This window comes from Homo sapiens, chromosome 14 (genome assembly GCF_000001405.40).
Source record: "Homo sapiens chromosome 14, GRCh38.p14 Primary Assembly".
Lineage (NCBI taxonomy): Eukaryota > Metazoa > Chordata > Mammalia > Primates > Hominidae > Homo > Homo sapiens.
This window is the reverse complement of record NC_000014.9, coordinates 88,386,623-88,409,015: the sequence shown is the minus strand read 5'-3', so window position 1 is coordinate 88,409,015 and position 22,393 is coordinate 88,386,623. Positions and strand designations below refer to the sequence as shown.

The following is a 22,393-nucleotide window of genomic DNA, read 5'->3' as shown; positions in this document are numbered from 1 at the left end:
ATACCAGCAAATCGAATCCAGCAGCACATCAAAAAGCTTATCCACCACGATCAAGTTGGCTTCATCCCTGGGATGCAAGGCTGCTTCAACATATGCAAATCAATAAACATAATTCATCACATAAACAGAACCAATGACAAAAACCACAGGATTACCTCAACAGATGCAGAAAAGGCCTTTGACAAAATTCAACAGCGCTTCATGCTAAAAACCCTCAATAAACTAGGTGTTGATAGAATGTATCTCAAAATAATAAGAGCTATTTATGACAAACCCACAGCCAATATCATACTGAATGGACAAAAGCTGGAAGCATTCCCTTTGAAAACCGGCCCAAGACAAGGATGCCCTCTCTCATCACTCCTATTCAACACAGTAACGGAAGTTTAGGCCAGGGCAATCAGGCAAGAGAAAGAAATGCAGGGTATTCACATAGGAAGAGAGAAAGTCAAATTGTCTCTGTTTGCAGATGACATGATTGTATATTCAGAAACCCCCATCATCTCAGCCCAAAATCTCCTTAAGCTGATAAGTAACTTCAGCAAAGTCTCAGGATACAAAATCAATGTGCAAAAAATCACAAGCATTTCTATACACCAACAACAGACAGACAGCCAAATCATGAGTGAACTCCCATTCACAATTGCTACAAAGAGAATAAAATACCTAAGAATAGAACTTAAAAGGGATGTGAAGGACCTCTTCAAAGAGAACTACAAACCACTGCTCAAGGAAATAAGAGAGGACACAAACAAATGGAAAACCATTACATGCTCATGGATAGGAAGAATCAATATTGTGAAAATGGCCACACTGTCCAAAGTAATTTATAGACTCAGTGCTATCCCCATCAAACTACCATTGACTTTCTTCACAGAATTAGAAAAAAACTATTTTAAATTTCATATGGAACCAAAAAAAGGGCCCGTATATCCAAGACAATCCTAAGCCAAAAGAACAAAGCTGGAGGCATCACACTACCTGACTTCAAACTATACTGCAAGGCTACAGTAACCAAAACAGCATGATACTGGTACCAAAACACATATATAGACCAATGGAATAGAACAGAGGTCTCAGAAGTAACGCCACACATCTACAACCATCTGATCTTTGACAAATCTGAGAAAAATAAGCAATGGGGAAAGGAGTCCCTATTTAACAAACAGTGTTGGGAAAACTGGCTAGCCATATGCAGAAAACTGAAACTGGACCCCTTCCTTACACCTTATACAAAAATTAACTCAAGATGGATTAAAGACTTAAATGTAAGACCTAAAACCATAAAAACCCTAGAAGAAAACCTAGGCAATACCATTCAGGACATAGGCATGTGCACAGACTTCATGACTAAAACACCAAAAGCAATGGCAACAAAAGCCAAAATTGACAAATGGGATCTAATTAAACTAAAGAGCTTCTGCACAGCAAAAGAAACCGTCATCAGAGTGGACAAACAACCCACAAAATGGGAGAAAAATTTTGCAATCTATCCATCTGACAAAGGGCTAATATCCAGAATCCACAAGGAACTTAAATTTACAAGAAAAAACCAACCCTATCAAAAAGTGGGCGAAGGATATGAACAGACACTTTTCAAAAGAAGACACTGATGTGGCCAACAAACATGAAAAAAAGCTAATCATCACTGGTCATTAGAGAAATGCAAATCAAAACCACAATGAGATACCATCTCATGCCAGTTAGAATAGCGATCATTAAAAAGTCAGGAAACAACAGATGCTAGACATGATGTGGAGAAATATGAACGCTTTTACACTGTTAGTGGGACTGTAAATTAGTTCAACCATTGTGGAAGACCGTGTGGCAATTCCTCAAGGATCTAGGACCAGAGATACCATTTGACCCAGGAATCCCATTACTGGGTATATACCCAAAGGATTATAACTCATTCTACTATAAAGACACATGCACACATATGTTTATTGCAGCACTGTTCACAATACCAAAGACTTGGAACCAACACAAATGCCCATCAATGGGTATATTTCTTTCTGGATAAAGAAAATGTGGCACATATACACCATAGAATACTATGCAGCCATAAAAAAGAATGAGTTCATGTCCTTTGCAGGAACATGGATGAAGCTGGAAACTATCATTCTCAGCAAACTAACACAGGAACAGAAAACCAAACACTGCATGTTCTCACTCATAAGTGGGAGCTGAACAATAAGAACACATGGACACCAGGAGGGGAACATCACACACTGGGGCCTGTTGGGGGACTGGGGAAGGGATAGTATTAGGAGAAATACCTAATGTAGATGACAGGTTGATGGGTGCAGCAAACCACCATGGCACATGTATACCTATGTAACAAACCTGCATGTTCTGCACATGTATCCCAGAACTTAACGTATAATAATAATAATAAAAAAAGAACACCTGGACATTTTTTAGTCAATATTTTTCTTCTCTAAAGAAACTGTATACAAATGCAATTGTGGAAACTAGTTACAAATTGATTAAAGATCATTTTGATTTGTAAATATATTTATTTAATAGAATTTCTTCTTTTCCCAATAACAAAAAATAGAATGCTAAAAAAAAAAAAAAAGTAGATTAGTGGTTGCCTGGGGCTAGGGGTAGGAATTTGCAGCGTGGCTGCAAATGGGTACAAGGGATCTTCATAAAATGATGAAAATGTTCTAAAATTGGTTTGTGGTTGCACAATTCTGTAAATTTAGTAAAAAATCAGTGAATCTTATAGTATGTAAATTATTTTTCAATAAAACTTCTATAAAAATTAAATTATTTAAATAATTCAATAAACTATATTCCAGGTTAGGAACTGATCAAGTCAGTAGTCTGCTATGACAGAAAAGTACAGAGTAGCTTATAAAAACAGAGATGGCTCAAATCCAGAGACTTCTCTTTTTATGTGTCTAGAAAGCCTGTTTCTAAGCCAAATTCATTATAATGAAAAATCATATATAATGAAGAATGATTATTAATTACACTTAACTTGGTGATTATAATATTTGCAATTACTCTAAGCCATCACAATTTGGTTTATGTAGCAAAAAGGAAAAATTCCTGCCTTAATTGACTAAAAGCAGAAAATACCATGGATAAATAAGCACTAGCTAAATCTACATTTTAAAAACAAAAAGTGCAAGCAATTCTTTAAATACCCCCTATATGCTGTCAAATCCCACATTTTTAGCTCTATCCTGAAATTGTCTCTTGAATTCCAGACTTGCACTCCAACTGCCTCCTAAGGGTTGCCAACTGGCTATGTAATAGGCATTTATTTCAAATGTAATGACCAACACTGAACTACTGCTTTGCTTTCTCCTCTCAATCTTTTCCTATGGTATTGCTCACTTCAGTAAATCATAACTCCATCCTTTTGGCTGAGAGGTTCTAAGTCTTGGAAGTCATTTTTGACCCAATCCTCTTTTCTCTCTCACACTACATCTACATCCAACCCATCAGTAAATACTATGGACACACATTTGAAATGTTTCCAGAATCTGATTATTTCAATCTCTCTCCACTGCAACCACTCTGGTCCCAGTCACCATTATTTCTCATCTGGATTATTTACTGTCTTCTAACTAGTCATTCTGCTTCAGACTATTCCCAACTATGAAGCCAAAGGGATGCTTTTAAAAGTAAAAGTAGCCCTGCTACTCCTCTCTTCAAGACCCTCCAATGGCTTGCAATTTCATTCAGAGTGAAGGCCAAAGTCTTTGCAATGGCCACTGCCTTTTATTCTCTGCATCCCTCTGTCCCATCTCAGTGACTTCATCTATTACTCTTCAGTTGGCTTATTCCATACTAGCTACACAGCCCTCCTTGCTGTTTTTTGAAAACACCAATCATGACACCATTTCAAGGCTTTTAAACTTGCTGTTTCCTCTGTCTGGATTGCTTTTTCCCCAGATAGCCACATGCCTCTTCCTTAATTCTTTCAGGTCTCTGCTCAATTGTCACCTTATCAGCAAGGGCTTCTCCTCCAAGGGACTCTCAGTCATTTTTTTTCCATTGCATTTATTACCATATGACATATTCTTTATTTATTTGTATTTGCTTATTGTTTGTCTTCTCCAACTACAATGTAAACTCTACAAAAGCAGGAAATTTGTCCTGTTCACCTCTTTAGTCCCAGCCCTTAGAACAATGTCTAGCACATAGCAGGGGCCCAATAAATATATGCTGAATAAATCAATGAATAAACTCTAGCAAACTAAATTAAATGTTATTTTGTTACTCTAGCAAAATAAATTAAATGACCATTTTAAATTTGTGATTTTGACTTTATTTTTTTTGAGACAGAGTTTCACTCTTGTTGCCCAGGCTGGAGTGCAATGGCATGATCTTGGCTCACTGCAACCTCCCCCTCCCGGGTTCAAGTGATTCTCATGTCTCAGCCTCCCGAGTAGCTGGAACTACAGGTGCATGCCACCACACCTGGCTAATTTCTGTATTTTTAGTAGAGAACGGGTTTCATTATGTTGGCCAGGCTGGTCTCGAACTCATGACCTCAAGTGATCCTCCCGTCTTGGCCTCCCAAAGTGCTGGGATTACAGGCGTGAGCCACAACGCCTGACCTAAAATACTTTTAAATACTTAGTAGGGCTACTCTACTACTCTTTTCTATTCATGTTCAGATTATTTCTGGCTATTTTCTCATATATATGTAGGTTAATTTTGGAACATTTTGTCAAGTAGTGTATGAACAATACTGATTTTTGGCATCTTAATTGAGCTCACATTGAATTTAGAAATTACTTTAAAAAGTATCAATACTTTAAAAAGTATGTATCAATATATTTGCATTATATAGAGTCTTTCTATCTTATAACAAGATATGCCTTTTCTTTTGGTCCAGTCAATACATTAACCAAATATATCTGGTTAATATATTCTTTCCAGTCATGACCAGATGGCCATTCTATTTAAGTTTATATATATATCAGGTTGCTTAGGTAATAATTTTTTCAGCTTTGTTAAGGTATAGCAGACAAACTGTATATGTTTCAGGCATTTAATTTGATATTCTGATATACATTGTGAATGATCATAATCAAGATAATTAATACATCTATCACCTAACATAGTTGCTACTTTTTCTTTTTTTTGTGGTGAGAACACAGATGTACTGTCTTAGCAAATTTCAAGTATATTATACAGTACTGTTAACTCTAATTAATGCTGTACATTAGATCTCCAGAACTTACTCAACTTGCATTAACTAAAACTTTGTACTCTTTGACCAACATCTCCCCATTTCCTCCTTCCTGTAGCCCCTGGCAACTTCCATTCTACTCTCTGCCTCTCTGAGGTTGCCCACTTTAGATTGCACATACACATGTTTAATAATCCAGACACAGGCAAGTACCACGTGATCTCACTTATATGTGGAAGCTAAAATGAACCCTCAGGTTCATCTGTGTTGTCACAAATGACAGAAATGACAGGATTTCCTTCTTTTTAAAGGCTATGTGGTGTGGGTTTTGCATGTGTCTGTGTATGTTATAAATGTGGTGTGGGTTGTGTGTATGTGTGTGTAGTATTTCTTTATACACATACCACATTTTCTTTATCCATTCATCTGTCAACATTTAGGTTGTTTCTATATCTTGACTATTTGCTATAATGCTGTAACAAACATGGGAGAACAGATATCTCCTTGACATACTGATTTCATTTCCTTTGGATATATATTCAGAAGTGGGATTGCTTAATCGTATGGTAGTTCTATTTTCAATTTCTCGAGGAGCCTCTATATTGATTTGCCTAATGGCTGTACCAACTTACATTCCTAGCAACAGTGCACAAGTGTTCCCTTTCCTCCACATCCTTGCCAACACTTGTTACATGTTGTCTTTTTGATAGCCATTCTCACAGGTGTGAGTGATATCTCATTAAGGTTTTGATTTGCATTTCCCTGATAATTAGTAATGTTAAGCACCTTTTCATACACTTATTGGCCACTTGTATGTCTTCCTTTGAGAATGTCTACTCAGGTCCTTCATGCATTTTTATAGCAAGGTTTTGGGTTTTTTTTTTTTTTTTTTTTTTTTGCTATTGAGTTGTACTTATTACTTACACAGTTGGGATATTAACCTCTTATCAGATACATGGTTTGCAAATATTTCCTCCCATTCTGTAAGTTGCCTATGCACTCTGTCGATTGTTTCCTTTGCTGTACAAAAGCTTTTGAGTTTGGTGAATTCCACTTGTCTATTTTTGCTTTTGTTGCCTGGCTTTCAGAGTCATATCCAAAAATATTATTGCCCAGACTAAAGCCAAGAAGCTTTTTTTCTATGTTCTCTTCTAGTAGTTTTATGGATTAGGACCTTATATTTAAGTTTTTAAATCCATTTTGAGCTGATTTTTGTATGAGTTGATTTTTGTCTATGGTTTAAGAGTCCATTTTCATCCTTCTGCATGGGACTATCCAGGTTTCCCAGAGTCATTCATTGATGACACTATCCTTTCCCCACTGTGTGTGTTTGGTACCCTTTTGAAGATAAGTTGACTATAAACACATGGATTTATTTCTGGGTTCTCCATTCTTTTCCATTGGTCTGGTATGTGTTTTTTTTTGCCAGTTCCATACTGTTTTGATTATTGTAGCTTTGAAATATATTTTGAAATTTAGAAAGTGTGATTTCTCCAGCCTTGTTTTTCTTGCTCAAGATTGTTTTATTTGTGGTCTTTTGTGGTCCCACATGAATTTTACGATTGTTTGTTCTATTTCTGTAAAGAATGTCTTTGGGATTTCTATAGGGATTGCAGTGAATTTATAGACTACTTTGGGTAGTACAAAAATTATAACAATATTAATTATTCCAATTCATAAATATGGATGTCTTCCATTTATCTGTGTCTTCTAAAATTTCCTTTATTGATGTTTTATAGTTTTCAGTGTACAAGTTTTCAACCTTTTTGTTTAAGGTTATTCCTAAGCATTTTATCCTTTCTGTTGCTGTTGCAAATGGCATTGTTTTCTTAATTTCCTTTTCAGACAGTTGTTTGTGTACAGAAATGCCACTGGTTTTTGTACATTAATTTTGTATCCTAAAACTATATTGAATTTATTGCAACAGTTCTTTTTTATTGGGCATTAGGGTATTCTACATATATATCATGTCATCACAAACAGAAGTAACCTTACTTTTTTTTTTTTTTTTTTTTTTTTTTGAGACAGGGTCTTTCTCTGCTGCCCAAGCTGGAATTCAGTGGCACGGTCAAAGCCCACTGTGACCTTGAATTCCTGGGCTCAAGTGATCCTACTGCCTCAGCCTCCAATGTAGCTAGGACTACAGGTATGTGTCACCATGCCTGGTTAATTTTTAGTTTTTTTATTTTGTAGAGGCATGGTCTTACTATGTTGCCCAGGCTGGCCACTCCTGGCCTCAAGTGATCTCTCCACCTTGGTCCCCCAAAGTATTGCAATTACAGGAGTGAACCACCACACCCAGCTCTACTGCTTTCTTTCTAATTCGTATGCCTTTTATTTCTTTTTCTTGTCTAATTGCTCTGGCTAGGACTTCCAATACTATGTTAAACAGAAGTGGCAAAAGTGAGGAATCCTTGCCTTATACCAGATCTTAGAGGAAAAGCTTTGTTTTTCTTCATTAAGCATCATGTTACCTGTGAGATTTTCATATATAGCTTTCATGCTGTTGAAGTAAGTTCCTTCTATTCCTATTTTGTTGAGAGAGTTTATCATGAATGGATGCTGAATTTTGTCAAATGGTTTTTCTGCATGTATTGAGATGATTGTGTGGTTTTTAATCTTTCACTATGTTACTGTGGTATATCACATTGGTTGATTTGCATATGTTGAACCACCTTTGTATCCCAGGGATAAATCTGACTTGGTCATGGTGTTTGACTCTTTTAACATGCAATTGAATTCAGTTTGCTGGTATTTTACTGAAGATTTCTGCACTTATATCAATCAGATATATTGGCCTGTAGCTTTCTTTTCTTGTGTTGTCTTTGTTTGGTTTTGGCATCAGGGTGGTGCTAGCCTCATAAAATGAGTTTGGAGGTATTCCCACTTCTATTTTTATAAAAGTTTAAGAAGGACTGGTGCTATCCTTTCTTTGAATATTTGGTAGATTTACCTATGAAGATATCTGGTCCTGGGCTATTCTTTGTTGGGAAGTTTTTTTTAATTTTTAATTTTATTTTTTTGAGATTTTATCCCATTCTGTCACCCAGGCTGGAGTGCAGGGGCATGATCTCAGCTCACTGCAACCTCCACCTCCTGGATTCAAGTGATTCTCCTGCCTCAGCCTCCTGAGTAGCTGGGATTACAGGTGTGCAACACCACATCTGGCTAATTTTTTGTATTTTTTAGTAGAGTCGGGGTTTCACCATGTTGGCCAGAGGGTCTTGAACTCCTGACCTCAAGTGATCTGCCTGTCTTGGCCTCCCAAAGTGCTGGGATTACAGGCATGAGCCACCACATGTGGCCTCTGTTGGGAAGTTTTTGATTACTGATTCAATCTCCTTTTTTCTATTAGTCTATTCAGGATATTTCTTCTTGATTCAGTTTTTGAAGGTTGTATGTTTCTAGGGATTTACCGAGGTGGGCTTAGTTTATTCTTCTTTTTCTAGTTCCTTGAGGTATACAGTTGAGTTGTTTGAGATCCCCTCTTTTAATGTAAGTATTCATCACTATAAACCACTCTCTTAGTACTAATTTTGCTGCATTCTGTAAGTTTTGGTATATTGTGGTTTTGTTTTCCTTTGCCTCAAGATATCAAAATTCTGTTTTTATTTCTTCTTTGACTCAATACTTGTTCAAGAATGTGTTGTTTAGTTGCCATGTATTTGTGAATTTCCCATTTTCTTACAGCTATTAATTATTAGTTTTATTCCATTCTGGTTGAAAAAGATACTTGAAATGATTTTTATCTTCTTAAATATGTTACGTCTGATTTTATGGCCTAATATGAGATCTATTCTGAAGAAGGTTTCATGTGCACTTGAGGAGTGCGTATTCTTCAATAGGGTATAAAGGTCTGTATATATCTGTTAAATTCCTTTGGTCTATTATGTTGTTCAAGTCAGCGGTTTAAATGATTTCTGTCTGGGTCTTATAATATGTATCCACTATTGAAAGTGGATTATTGAAGTCTTCTATTATTGTATTAAAGTCAATTTCTCCCTCAGATTTGTCCACAATTGCATGATATATTTAGGAGTTCTGATGTTGGGTATGTAGATAATTGTTACATCTTCCTGTTAAGTTGACCCTTTAAAAATTATATAATGGCTGTCATTGTCTCTAGAGATCATTTTAAGGCCAGGCGCGGTGGCTCACGCCTGTAATCCCAACCAACTTAATTCAAATGATCCAGATATTTAAAGCATGTAAACACTGAACCAGTTTTGTGCTACAAAAAAGTTACTAATATGATACAGAAGAAAAAAATGTAAAGCACAGAAATTAAAAATCTGGAAGGGTCCTTAGAAATCATCTAATTACCTTTCATTTCACAAAAAAGGAAGGTCAGAGGTAAAATGACTTGCCCATATAACTTGTATGTAGCGACCAAACTGGTCTTTAAAAATATGTACTAAGAAGTCTCTACTCTTGCCTAACATGCCTTTTTTCCTCCTTTAAAATTATTTGAATCTAATTTTCCTTCAAAAATATGACAGCCTACACGAAGGTTTGTTGCAAACATAAAAAGAATAGAAAAGGGAGAATACAAAGTGTCAAGCACAAGGCCTGAGACAGACACTGTGTTTGTAGCTATGACCTATAGCTGGTAGTTACTTTCTCCCCTACCTTCTATCTCTTCAACTAAGATATACAAGCAGAGATGAGTTAACCATTCCTACTGTTTGTGATCTTTCCTAGATTGCACCCAAAAGGCATTTCCCTATGTATGCTTTTATTCATTTATCATTTAGCATGAATTAACCTTAGGTTGATATTTACTTTTTTTTCTTTTTTTTTTTTTTTGAGACGGAGTCTTGCACTGTTGCCCAGGCTGGAGTGCAGTGGCATCATCTCGGCTCACTGCAAGCTCCGCCTCCTGGGTTCACGCCATTCTCCTGCCTCAGCCTCCCGAGCAGCTGGGACTACAGGCGCCTGCCACCATGCCCAGCTAATTTTTTGTACTTTTAGTAGAGACAGGGTTTCACCGTGTTAGCCAGGATAGTCTCGATCTCCTGACCTCGTGATCCGCCCGCCTCAGCCTCCCAAAGTGCTGGGATTACAGGCATGAGCCACTGCACCTGGCTGATATTTACTTTTTTAATGTAGAAATGTTCTCAAACTCTACATAAATTCAAATATTAACTTAGAAAACTTAGAAACTTAGAAAACACTAAACTTAAAATTTATAACACTGATTTTTTTTTATCTTTTTTTAAAATTTTATTATTATACTTTAAGTTTTAGGGTACATGTGCACATTGTGCAGGTTAGTTACATATGTATACATGTGCCACGCTGGTGCGCTGCACCCACTAACTCGTCATCTAGCATTAGGTATATCTCCCAATGCTATCCCTCCCCCCTCCCCCCACCCCACAACAGTCCCCAGAGTGTGATGTTCCCCTTCCTGTGTCCATGTGATCTCATTGTTCAATTCTCACCTATGAGTGAGAATATGCGGTGTTTAGTTTTTTGGTCTTGTGATAGTTTACTGAGAATGATGATTTCCAATTTCATCCCTGTCCCTACAAAGGACATGAACTCATCATTTTTTATGGCTGCATAGTATTCCATGGTGTATATGTGCCACATTTTCTTAATCCAGTCTATCATTGTTGGACATTTGGGTTGGTTCCAAGTCTTTGCTATTGTGAATAGTGCTGCAATAAACATACGTATAACACTGATTTTTATATGATTAATACGACAATCAAAGGCTGTGACAGCCATGTTTTTTGCCTATTTTTAAAGGATACATTTCTTTTTTTTTTTTGAGACGGTGTCTTGCTCTCTCGCCCAGGCTGGAGTGCAGTGATGCGATCTCTGCTCACTGCAAGCTCCACCTCCCGGGTTCACGCCATTCTCCTGCCTCAGCCTCCAGAGTAGCTGGGACTACAGGTGCCCACCACCACACCCAGCTAATTTTTTGTTTTTTAGTAGAGACGGGGTTTCACCCTGTTAGCCAGGTTGGTCTCGATCTCCTGACCTCGTGATCCGCCTGCCTCGGCCTCCCATAAAGTATACATTTCTTAATTGAAATCAAAAACAAAGGTTTCAAATGGTATTCTTCAGAAATTTTTAAACAGGGTTTTCAAATTTTTGGTCTGATGATTTAAAAATGAAGATAACCTGGTCAAAGGGTAGATATATAAGGATTCTATATATCCTGTGTCAACATTATGGGTTTTCTTTTTCCTTTTTTTTTTTTTTTCTTGAGACAGCATCTCCCTGTCACCTAGGCCAGAGTGCAGTGGCATGATCATGGCTTACTGCAGCCTTGACCTCCCTGGCTCAAGTAATCTTCCCACCTTAGCCTCCTGAGTAGCTGGGACCAGAGTTGCATGCCACCACATCCAGCTAATTTTTGTATTTTTTGAAGAGACAGGGTTTCACCATGTTGCCTAGGCTACTCTTAAATGCCTGGGCTCAAGTGATCCACTTGCCTCTGTCTCCCATAGGTGTGAGCCACTGTGCCTGGGTATTTTTGGATAATTTTTAAGTTAGAAATGCTTTCTCAAAAGGCAATGTGTCAACACCTTTTAGTATGGCTACTATTAAACAAATAGGAAAAAGCAAGTGTTGGGGAGGACATGGGGAAATCTGAATACTTGAGCATCATTAGTCATAATGGAAAATGGTGCAGCTGCTATAGAAAGCAATATGGTCACTGGGTGCAGTGGCTCACGCCTATAATCCCAGCACTTTGGGGGACTGAGTCAGGTGGATCACTTGAGCTCAGGAGTTTGAGACAAGCCTGGGCAACATGGTAAAACCCTGTCTCTATGTAAAAAGGCTGTGGCAAAATTAGCTGTGCGTGGTGGCTTGCGCCTGTAGTCCCACCTACTTGGGAGGCTGTTGGGAGGCTGAGGTGGGAGGATTGCTTGAGCCCAGGAGGTGGAGGTTACAGTGAGGTGAGATCGTTCCACTGCACTTTAGCCCCAGGGCAATAGAGTGAGACCCTGTCTCAAAAAAAAAAAAAGAAAAAAGAAAAGAAAAGAAAATAGTATGGTAGTTTCTCAAAAAATTAAAAATAGAATATATGATTTAGCAATTCCACTTCTAAATATACACCCAAAATCTTTAAAAGGAGGGTCTTGAAGAGGTATTTGTATACTCATGTCCATAGCAGTATAGTTTATTCACAACAGCCAAAAGGTGACTGTAACTCAAGTGTCCATCAACTGACGAATGCATAAGTAAAATGTGGTATATACACAGAATGGAATTTTATTCAGCCTTTAAAAAGGAGATTCTGACTCATTACAATATGGGTGAACCTTGAGAACATCATGCTAGGTGAAATAAGCCAGTCACAACAGAACAAACACGATATGATTCCACTTATATAAGGTACCTAAAATAGATTCATAGAGATAGTAAGTACAATGGTGACAGTAGTCAAATTCATAGTGATAGAAAAGAATGTTGGTTTCCAGGGCCTATGGGAGGAAATTATTGTTTATGTGGCACAGGAATTTCAGTTTTGCAGTATAAAGAGAGTTCTGGAGGTAGTAGTTATCATTGTACCACAATATTAATGTACTTAATATTGAACTGGACACTTAAAAATGGTTAAGACAGTAAATTTTATGTTATGTATATTTACCTTAATTTTTTTTTAAAAAGGTAATAATGTCCAAAAATTACTTACACTTTATGCTGGTACTCACGCTTACTGGAACCGAGCAGTCTACTGCAGCTGAAAGAGAAAGGTAATAGTTTAATAATATTGTCAGTATTTATAAATGACAAATACCAAATGTGGAAATCACAAAATGTTCCAGACCTTGCAGCTGTTTATCATACTTCTAGCGATGGAAAACACAAGATCCTTGATTAAAAATACACTGTTGGGATTAATAACTCATTCAATACTGCAGAAGAAAATACTAGTGAACTTGAAGACATAGCAATATAAACTACTCAAAATGAAACAGACTTAACATACTTATAATGTAGTCCCAAAACAAGCTTGGGGAAAAAAAAGCAAAATGGAAGACTTACACTACCTGATTTCAAGACTTACTGTAATGCTACAATAATTAAGGCAGTGTGGCATGGGGCTTAAAGATAGACATATAGATCAACAGAACCAAGGAGTTAAGTCCAGAAACAGACCCACACATATGGTCAACTGACTTTCAAAAAGTACTAGGACAATTAAATAGAGAAAAGATAACCTCTTCAACAAATGGTACTGGGAAATTTGGATATGAAGAGGCAAAAAAACAAAACAAACAAAAAACCTCAAAACCCTTATATCACACCATATACAAAAACTAACTCAAAATGGATCGCAAATTTAAATGTAAGGGCTAAAACTTTAAAACTTCTAGAAGAAAACATATTAAGAAATTCTGAGTGACCTAAGGTTAGGCAAATATTTCTTGAACAGGTTATGAAATAACCTGTTTAGTTTATAAAACTAAAAAACTAAACGACTTCACGATTTTCATGTCACAAAATATTTTTCTTTTGTTTTTTTAGTCATTTAAAAATATAAGCATCATAAAATATAAACTAAAATTTAAAAACTTTAGCTATTTAAATGAGAAAATAAAAATTTAAAAGACATTAGTCAAAAATTGGTGAAATTCAAATAAGGTCTGTAGTTAATGGGATTGCATCAATATTGATTTCCTGGTTTTGATAACTATACCACGGTTTTTAAGATTTTTAACATTAGTGGAAGAGCAGAGTACAGGGTATATGGTAACTCCCTATACAATTTTTAAATGTTTATGTAAGTCTAAAAATTTCTCCAGAATACGAATTTTAACAAGAAAATGAAAACACCAGCTACAGATTGGGAAAAAAATATCTGCAAAACATATATCTGATATAGAATCTGTATATAAAGAAACTCACAACTTAATACTAAAGAGACAAACAACCCATTTTTAATAATGGGTAAAAGATTTGAACAGTCATTTCACCAAAGAAGATATACAGATGGGAAGTAATAAGGCAACATCACTAGAAATCAGGGAAATGCAAACTAAAACTATGAAGTGATACTATTTCATATTCACTAGAATGGTTAAAAAAGGACTGTCAACGCCAAGGGTTGGTAAGGGTGCAGAAGTAATGGAAATGTAAATGGTATATTCACTCTGGAAAACTGTAGTTTCTTATAAAATTAAACTTATACTTAATATATTACCTCACAGTTCTACTCCTGACACATAAATTTACCCGAGTGAAACGTAAACACATGCGCCAAAATTATATGTGAATGTTTATAGCAGCTTTATTCCTAATGGCCAAAAGTGAGTCAAAACAATCCAAATGTTTAACAACTGGTGAATCATAAACAAATTGTGGTCTATTCATTAAATGAAATACTCCTTAACAATACAAAAGAATAAATGGTGGTACACAGAACAGTGTGAATTAGTCTCAAGATCATTAAGATAACTGAAAAAAGCCAGACCCAAAACGATACATGATTCCATTTCTATGAACTTATAGAAAAGGTAAAACTATAGGCGAAAGAGCAGATCAGTGGTTGCCAGGGATTTGTCAGGAGGGGACTGACGGCAAAGGACTAGGGGGAACTCTTTGAGGTAATGGACTTTTTCTATATCAAGGGTTGGCAAATTTTTTCTACAAAGGGCCAGGTAGCAAATGCTTCAGGATTTGCAGGGTGATACAGTCTGTTACAACTGGTCAACTCTGCTTTTTAGTGTAAAAGCTGCCACAGACAATATGTAAAAGATTGAAAATGATTGTTTGTCTATGGATAACTACATTTGAATTTCAGGTCACAAAATACTTTTTTTTAAATTTTTTGCTACCATTTAAAAATATGAACACCATTCTTAGTTCATGGGCTGTACAGAAACAGGTGGTAGGAGGGTTTGGCCTGAACGGTGTAGTTAGCTGATTCCTGTTTTACAGCATGGTTGTAGTAGTATTTATACAAATGTGTTCATTTTTCAAAATATTTATCTGTACACATTATAATCAATGCATTTTATAATGTAAGTTTTATCTCAATAAAGCTGACAAAAGAAAAAAATTAAACAGAAAAATAGCATCTTCTTTGTGCAACTTCCATAGATGTGTAAACAAAAAAGCAGATTATATATTTTCATATTAAAAGCAATATCTAACAAAATATTATTAGCAATAGAGATAAAAAACGAAATAAAATAGGCAATATATAGATTTCAAATATAGTTAACAAAAATGGGTATGAATTTGCTAAGTACCTAGAGTCAATAGTTTGTATCACACTAAACCAAACAAATACAAATCCTCTCATATATATAAGGTATTCATTTTTGCTATAGATATATTTTAATGAGAAGTGAAGCTGGAGGTTTAAATTGAGTACAGAGAGTTCACATTTGCACATTTTTACCTTTGGCTGAAAGGATTTTATTATAGTGAACAGCCATGTGATTCTTGACCAGCTGGAGAGTGCTTAGTCTGAGAGAAGAGGAGTCAGTGCAAAAAGCTAAAAATTAAAACATAATCATTATATATTTAAAACTAATATAAAAATCATGAGATAAACAAGGCACTGATTATTTAACTCATTCTTATAAAATGTTCTGAAATTCAACCAGAGATATTGATATATGACATTGTGATGTGAAGCTTTAATCTTGCACTGATAATGCCAATGAGCTATTGACCATTTGGGTTCAAACCTTCCTGAGAATAAAATTTTACAAGCCTGAGACTCTGGGGAAGAGATTCTAGGATATGATCTGTCATTACATTTACAGAACTATTTTTTTTTTGACAGCTCTCAATCTTCTAACTAAGGATGTTTAGCTGCTTGCTTAATTAGTTACCATTGTTAATACTTAATCAACGGAATTTCAGAAATTCAATGACTACCAAATCCCAAAACCCTACATACAAAAATTATATTCCAAGAAGCAAATTTCTAACTTAAACCTGAAAACAAGATCTACATACCAGTTTACTACATTCTTTTTGAAGTACTAAAACTATCTTATAACAAGTGTAATCGCAAAGAAATTCCATGACATTAAACTCCTTGGTCCTCATTCAAACTGTTTAAAAGAAATCTTAGAAATAGTTAAGCACTTACACACAAGTATAAAATATAAATATAGGCAAAGCTTTTTTAAACATTAAAAACAGTTTTTGAGAAGTAATACACGCAATGTGGTTAAAAAAATTCAACAGCTAAAATGGCATATGGAGTTTGAAAAAGAAGTGATTTCTCTACCCTGACCTTTAGTCTCCCTTCCCAGAAATATACTATGTTACTGTTTAAATGCATCCTTCCAGAGACTCTGTGCATAATACAAGCCTATGCAATAATTACGAGCTTGATGCCACTACTAAAAATATTTACTGAATAAATGCCATTTACCATGCATTGTTCTAAACTCTTTATATGTATAAACTTATCTAGTCATTATTATTATCATTTAATCGAAGTGAAAACTGAGGCACAGAGATATGAGTTACATCTTCAAGGTTACACTGCTGATAAAGGATGCAGCTTCCATGTGATCCAAGGCAGCCTCATACTTAAAACCACCATACCTATACCAGCTCTATATATATATTCTTTAAAAGAAAGTTAGCAAACTTTACATATTGTTCTTTATCCTGATTTCTATGTATGTATATTTTAAATCTAGTTTTAACTTTTTATTTAAAATTTAGTTTTTAAAGTTTATCATTATGGCTATGTTACATACATATATATGTTACATACATACATAGCCACAATCATAAACTTTAAAAAATACACTGTAATACAAAGAAATAAGTGAGGCAACTGAAAATGAGATCCTTCCACCACATTTGGAGGTAACAGTATCAAAGATTTTTCCTGTAAATAAGGAAAATAAGGCTTTAATTATTTTGCCTAAGGACATAGACTTATACTTCTAAGGTATAATTACAAAAATTTATTTTAAAACCTACCTTAAAAATGTACCTTGAAAGCTTTAAAATATAAAAATATCACAGCACCTAGAAATCCAGTTGGATAAAGAGGCCCATAGGCCTTTGCTCCTAATAGGAAATGTATTATTCAAGTGCTCTTTTTCTCTGCACAGCTTTTCCTTTTCAGTGCTTGCGTCTTTAATACCTGCTACTCACCATTTTAACAAGGCAGGTATGCCTTAAATCAGGGTAGTTTCCTGGCAAAAGTAGAGCTGGGCTGCTGTAGCAGCTGGGAGCAGGAGACAGCCAAGTCCACATCCAGGGCACAATAATAGTTTGAAATCATAGACTCCAAAATTCTCTAATCTCAAGAACGCCTATATTTCATTAAAATTAATAATATGAAGTTCAAATATTCGTCAAATGAAACAATTTTTCCATCATGTCATATAATTTGCCAGTAAAGGAAACACTCAGACAATCTTCTAACAAAGCTGCCGTTTTAAGCACCTCACTTACCATTACTTTTGGTGCTCAAGTGTCCTTTAAATAGGCACGGTGGACCATATCTGGGAAGGACAGAGGTTGCTCTGACTTTTAACAAGAAAAAAAAATCATAAATTAGGATAAATGAAACACAACTTTTACAAAAACAACAATATTCAATATTTTTTAAATAATAAATTTATCACAAAATAATTTCTTTCCTAAAAGGTGATTGCGTTTTTAGTAGTAATCTCCAAAACAGGAAGTCTGAGTTACAGCATTAAATGTAATTTAATATGCAAAATATAAATGCTTTATCCCCCAAACAGAGATGTTTTAAGAGGGTAAGATGGCTAGTTTGCTATCAGGTGGGCTGTTAAAAGCTATAACAAGGAGGACACATAGAAAGTCTAGAAGATATATGGATGACTAAATATAGAAAAAAGAAGTATCGAGCTAGGAGAACTAAAATCTAAGACCAGAGAACAAAGCTTGTCAGAATAGATTAAAACAGAAAAACAAACTGAGGTCAGAATATCTATGAAGCTCTTTCTATGTCACAGGTCAGAGTGCAGGAAGGAAAAAAATATTTAGGACAATACAAGTCAAGGTGATGCCATCTGAACTGGGAAAAAAGATAGTCATGAAATGAGCATAGCTTCTACCAAGAAAGAAGGAGGGTAAGACCTAAACATAAGAAAAAATACCAACAAACTCTCAGAAAAACCTCATTTCTCCAGATAGAAAGAACTGTGACTTTTTTCTTGTCCAGAATTCAATGCCTCTTCACCTGGAAATGACAACTCAACTTTCCTTTGGGCGACTCTTCCCTTACTCTTAGCCCAGGTGGTTCAAATAGAGCTGACCCCACTGTCAGGGTTAGGCATAAAACCCAAATGTGGACAGCTGTGTTGACAGCGTCAGCAATGCTATGCGATCCAAGTCCCAACATGAGATACACAATCCTGGGCCTTTGACAGGAACTATTAGGAAAGGTACTTTCATTTCACTGGGCTTGCTAAACCCAGTGAAGGGTCTAAGCAAGCCCTGTATTGCTGGTGGCCATCCTGAACCTTATAAAGGAACCTGTCTGAGAATGAAGCCTACACAGTCAAGTGGAACCAAGATAGAAAGCGATTTCTTGGTGACATCATTTGAGTACCTGAGGCCAACCATGTTTGAAGCTCTTCCTTCCCTAGACGTTTCTTTACATTAGCCAAAAAAAAAAAAAAATTCCCATTTTAGCTTAAACCAGTATGAGTTGATTTCTTCATTTGTAGTCAAAAGGCTAATTTATTGAGTGGTAACCCTGCCAGGCAGTGCTCCAAGCACTTTGCTGGTATAAATTCATTTAATCCTTACAATACTATAATTCTCCCTACTTTATAGATGAGGGTAATTGAAGCACAGAGGTTAAACTTGTAATTTGCCAAAGATTACACAAGAATGTGACAGATTTGGGATCTGAACCCAAGCAGTCTGTTTCCTGGGTCTTAATCATTACACTATCTTGACCAATATAAACTGCTCAGTACTTGAACCATGTTCTAAGCTACTAAATCATGTGAAACAGACCAAGAAGATATCTCAGCTGTATGTAGTTTATTCCCTCCAAATTCCATTCTATTCTATGTATGTTTCACTATAGGTCACAGAAAAAGGAAAAACAGGTATACCCAGAGAAGTGTGAAAGGATGAAAAGAGAATGAAAAAAGGCTGGAACCTAGTGATAATGCTCTGGATAGAAATGCTTCCCCACCCATCTGTAAGTGACAGCTGTGAACAAGGTGGTTAATATTTGGCCCCAGGAATCAATCCAGCTGCTCTTTAGCATAAGATGGTGATAAGAACAAACATGGAATTTAGATGTTCCTTGATGTCTATGTTCCCTTGTCTATTTACCATCAGACGTACACCAAGGCATATACTCATTGGTTTCTAATATTCCTATAGATACATGTCATATTAAAAATGACAGAATTAGGGCTGAGCACAATGGCTCGTGCTTGTAATCCCAGCACTTTGGGAGACTGAGGCAGGCTGATCACCTAAGCCCAGAAGTTCAAAGACCAGCCTGGACAACATGGCGAAACTCTAACTGCACAAAAAAATACAAAATTAGCTGGGTGTGGTGGTGTGTGCCTGTAGTCCCAGCTACACAGGAGGCTGAGATGGGAGGATGATTGAGCCCAGGAGGCTGCAATGCACTCCAGTCTGGGTAACAGAATAAGACCCTGTCTCGAAAAAAGAAAAAAGAAAGAGAAAGGAAAAAAAAAAACCTAACAGAATTGAGGGGAGAAATAAGACGATTTAATTCATCTACCCTCTCATAGTTTCTGGTTCCTCCTTTGTGTCCTGTGTATAGGTCACATTTTCCTGTTTTTTTGTTTTTGTTTTTTTGCATGACTTGCAATTTCTTTTTGTTGAAAAGTTAACATTTTAGGTAATATATTGCAGCAACTCTAGATACAGAATCCTCTCCTGAGCTTGTTTTCATTGTTGTTCACTTGTTTGTTTAGTGACTTGGCTAAGCAATTTATCAAAGTCTATTTCCCATGGAATGTGAAGCCTCCGATATCACTCCTCGGTGATGAAGCTTTGGGCAAGTGCACAATCACGCCTTCTCTAATGAGGTCTGAACCCCAGTCTTTGGGAGAAACTCTCTTTCAAATTGTCCTTCTTTGAGTACTTTCCCGTAATTCTAGGTACCAAATACAGTTTTCTTATCTTTTTAATTAATTCATTAATTTGTTTTATATACTAGAGACAGGGTCTTGCTATGTTACCCAGGCTGATTACAAACCACTGACCTCAAGTGATGCTCCTGCCTCAGCCTCCTAAAATGCTGAGATTACAGGCATGAGCTGACACGCCCAGCCCCTTACATCTTATAGTTACTCTTTTATGAAAGTATAACAATTCTTTAACTTTTCCTTGTATAAAAATCACTGTATGGTTTCTATCTCCTGACTGGACTGGACCCAGAATGAGCCAAAGGGGCATGGAGAAGTAGCCTCAAACCAAATGCCAAGGAAAAGAACATCATTCTCTAACTATTAGGACTAAAATCTTGTCAATGAGATTGAAGGTCTTAGTGGTGAAATTCACTGGTATATGAGAGCAGCCCATTTTCCTACACAATTTGATTAAAATAGCCAGAAGAAAGTCCAGTGAGGAAAGATGAAAGTGTTTCTTGTGGCAAGGTTTCTCTGGAAAACCAAAGGTTTGGAAATCTACCATTGATAAGTGTCTCTATGAGACCAACAGATCAAAACAATTTTTTTTTTGAGATGGAGTCTTGCTCTGTTGCCCAGGCTGGAGGGCAGTGGCATGATCTTGGCTCACTGCAACCTCCCCCTCCCAGGTTCAAGTGATTCTCCTGCCTTAGCCTCCCGAGTAGCTGGGACTACAGGCGCACGCCACCATGCCTGGCTAATTTTTGTATTTTTTGGTGGAGACAGGGTTTAATTCTGTTGCCCAGGCTGGTCTCAAACTCCTGACCTCAAGTGATCCACCTGCCTCAGCCTCCCAGAGTGCTGGGAAAAAATTTTTTTTCAAGTTACTTTCAGTAATATACTAATAGGTTGTCTCCTCTCCTTCCTAAAGGTCATTGATATTAGAGTGAATGGCAGTTTGTTATTCTCAATCTTTTCTTCACCTTCCCCCATAGGAAGCTGGAAACCATGCCTTATATATACCTAGTCCAAGCCCCCATTTTATAAATAACTGAGGCCCAGGGACGTACAGTGACATGCTGAAGATTACCTAGTTAGTTAGTAGGAAACAAAGATTACAAACAAGACTAACCGTTTTTCAGTCTGGTGCTGTACTATACCACCATTTAGAAGGCTTGCCTTACAAAAGAATGTCTAAAACGTGATTACAGTAAGAGCATGACAAAAGATAATTTTTCTTTAGATGTTTTAATATTTTATGCTCTGAAATAACTAAAAGCACCTCCTAATGAAATCTAAGAAATTTATTCTCAATTATTTTAGCTGTGTCTAAAATTATTTATGGTTTCCTATTAATTTACAGTACATGAAAGCTGACTGCCCTGGTTATTTGGTGATTACATTTATTTTAAAAATTCAAAATAACAGTATTTGACATTATCATATATTATTTCCTAAAAATGAAGCTAATTAAATTGTGCAAGTTGTAAAAATATAAACCTTTTTACATTTGGCATGAACCCAATTTTTAAAATAATTCAATAAACAAATACTGACAACTTACTAAATCTACCATACTCTAAATGTTACATTTATCCTTTCCCCCTGCCCATCCCTACCATGGGATAGTAAGTAAATGCATTGGCTTCAGATTTATATTCTTCACCTAGATTCAAATCCTGTTCTGCCGCTGTGATCTTGGCAAGTTATTTGTGATCTTTTGCTTTAGTTTCTTCACTATGAAATAAGGCTAATGCCTATCAAGGTATTTTTGTACATTAAATGAGATAATTTGGAAATAGTTCCTAGTACATAGCAAGGGTTTAATGTTAGTTTATATGCAAAATTTCTTAAGATCATAAAGCGTTTTGATTTGCTTTTTCTGAAACCTAGGTTGGTGAAGTGTCAGAATAGTTTGCTGATCAATGAATAGTTATCTCCTACATTCGGAGTAGCACTTATTTTGATCAATGACTATATAATAAAGGCAGACTCATTCAAAGAAAGACATCAAGGAATCATCTAGCAGCTTGGTTTAAAGGCAGTCTTTTAAATAGATAAAAACACTGAATTGGGAGGGGCGGGGAGTCTATAAAGATTGCCTCATTTGACTCGAGGAAAGAATGATACTGGCTCAGAAAGTGTGAAAATGCAAATTATTTGGTTTGGGCCGATTTGTAGATATTTAAGA

General features: G+C 36.1%; 1 protein-coding gene across 11 annotated transcripts in view; it reads right to left on the bottom strand.

The window, feature by feature from the left end:
* SPATA7 (spermatogenesis associated 7) overlaps window positions 1–22,393 on the bottom strand; it is an 84,694-nt gene that overhangs the window by 61,335 nt on the left and 966 nt on the right. For 5 of the 11 annotated variants that reach the window (XM_006720205.2, XM_047431581.1, XM_006720204.2 and 2 more), the window contains exons 2-4: window positions 17,561–17,635; window positions 15,528–15,623; window positions 12,813–12,860 (exon numbers count right to left, since the gene is read on the bottom strand). In XM_006720205.2, the coding sequence (XP_006720268.1) occupies window positions 12,813–12,860; window positions 15,528–15,623; window positions 17,561–17,635 (219 nt within the window). The remainder of the gene's footprint in view (window positions 1–12,812; window positions 12,861–15,527; window positions 15,624–17,560; window positions 17,636–22,393) is intronic. The other 6 variants (XM_047431584.1, XM_047431582.1, XM_005267852.3 and 3 more) reach the window with 2 other exon arrangements.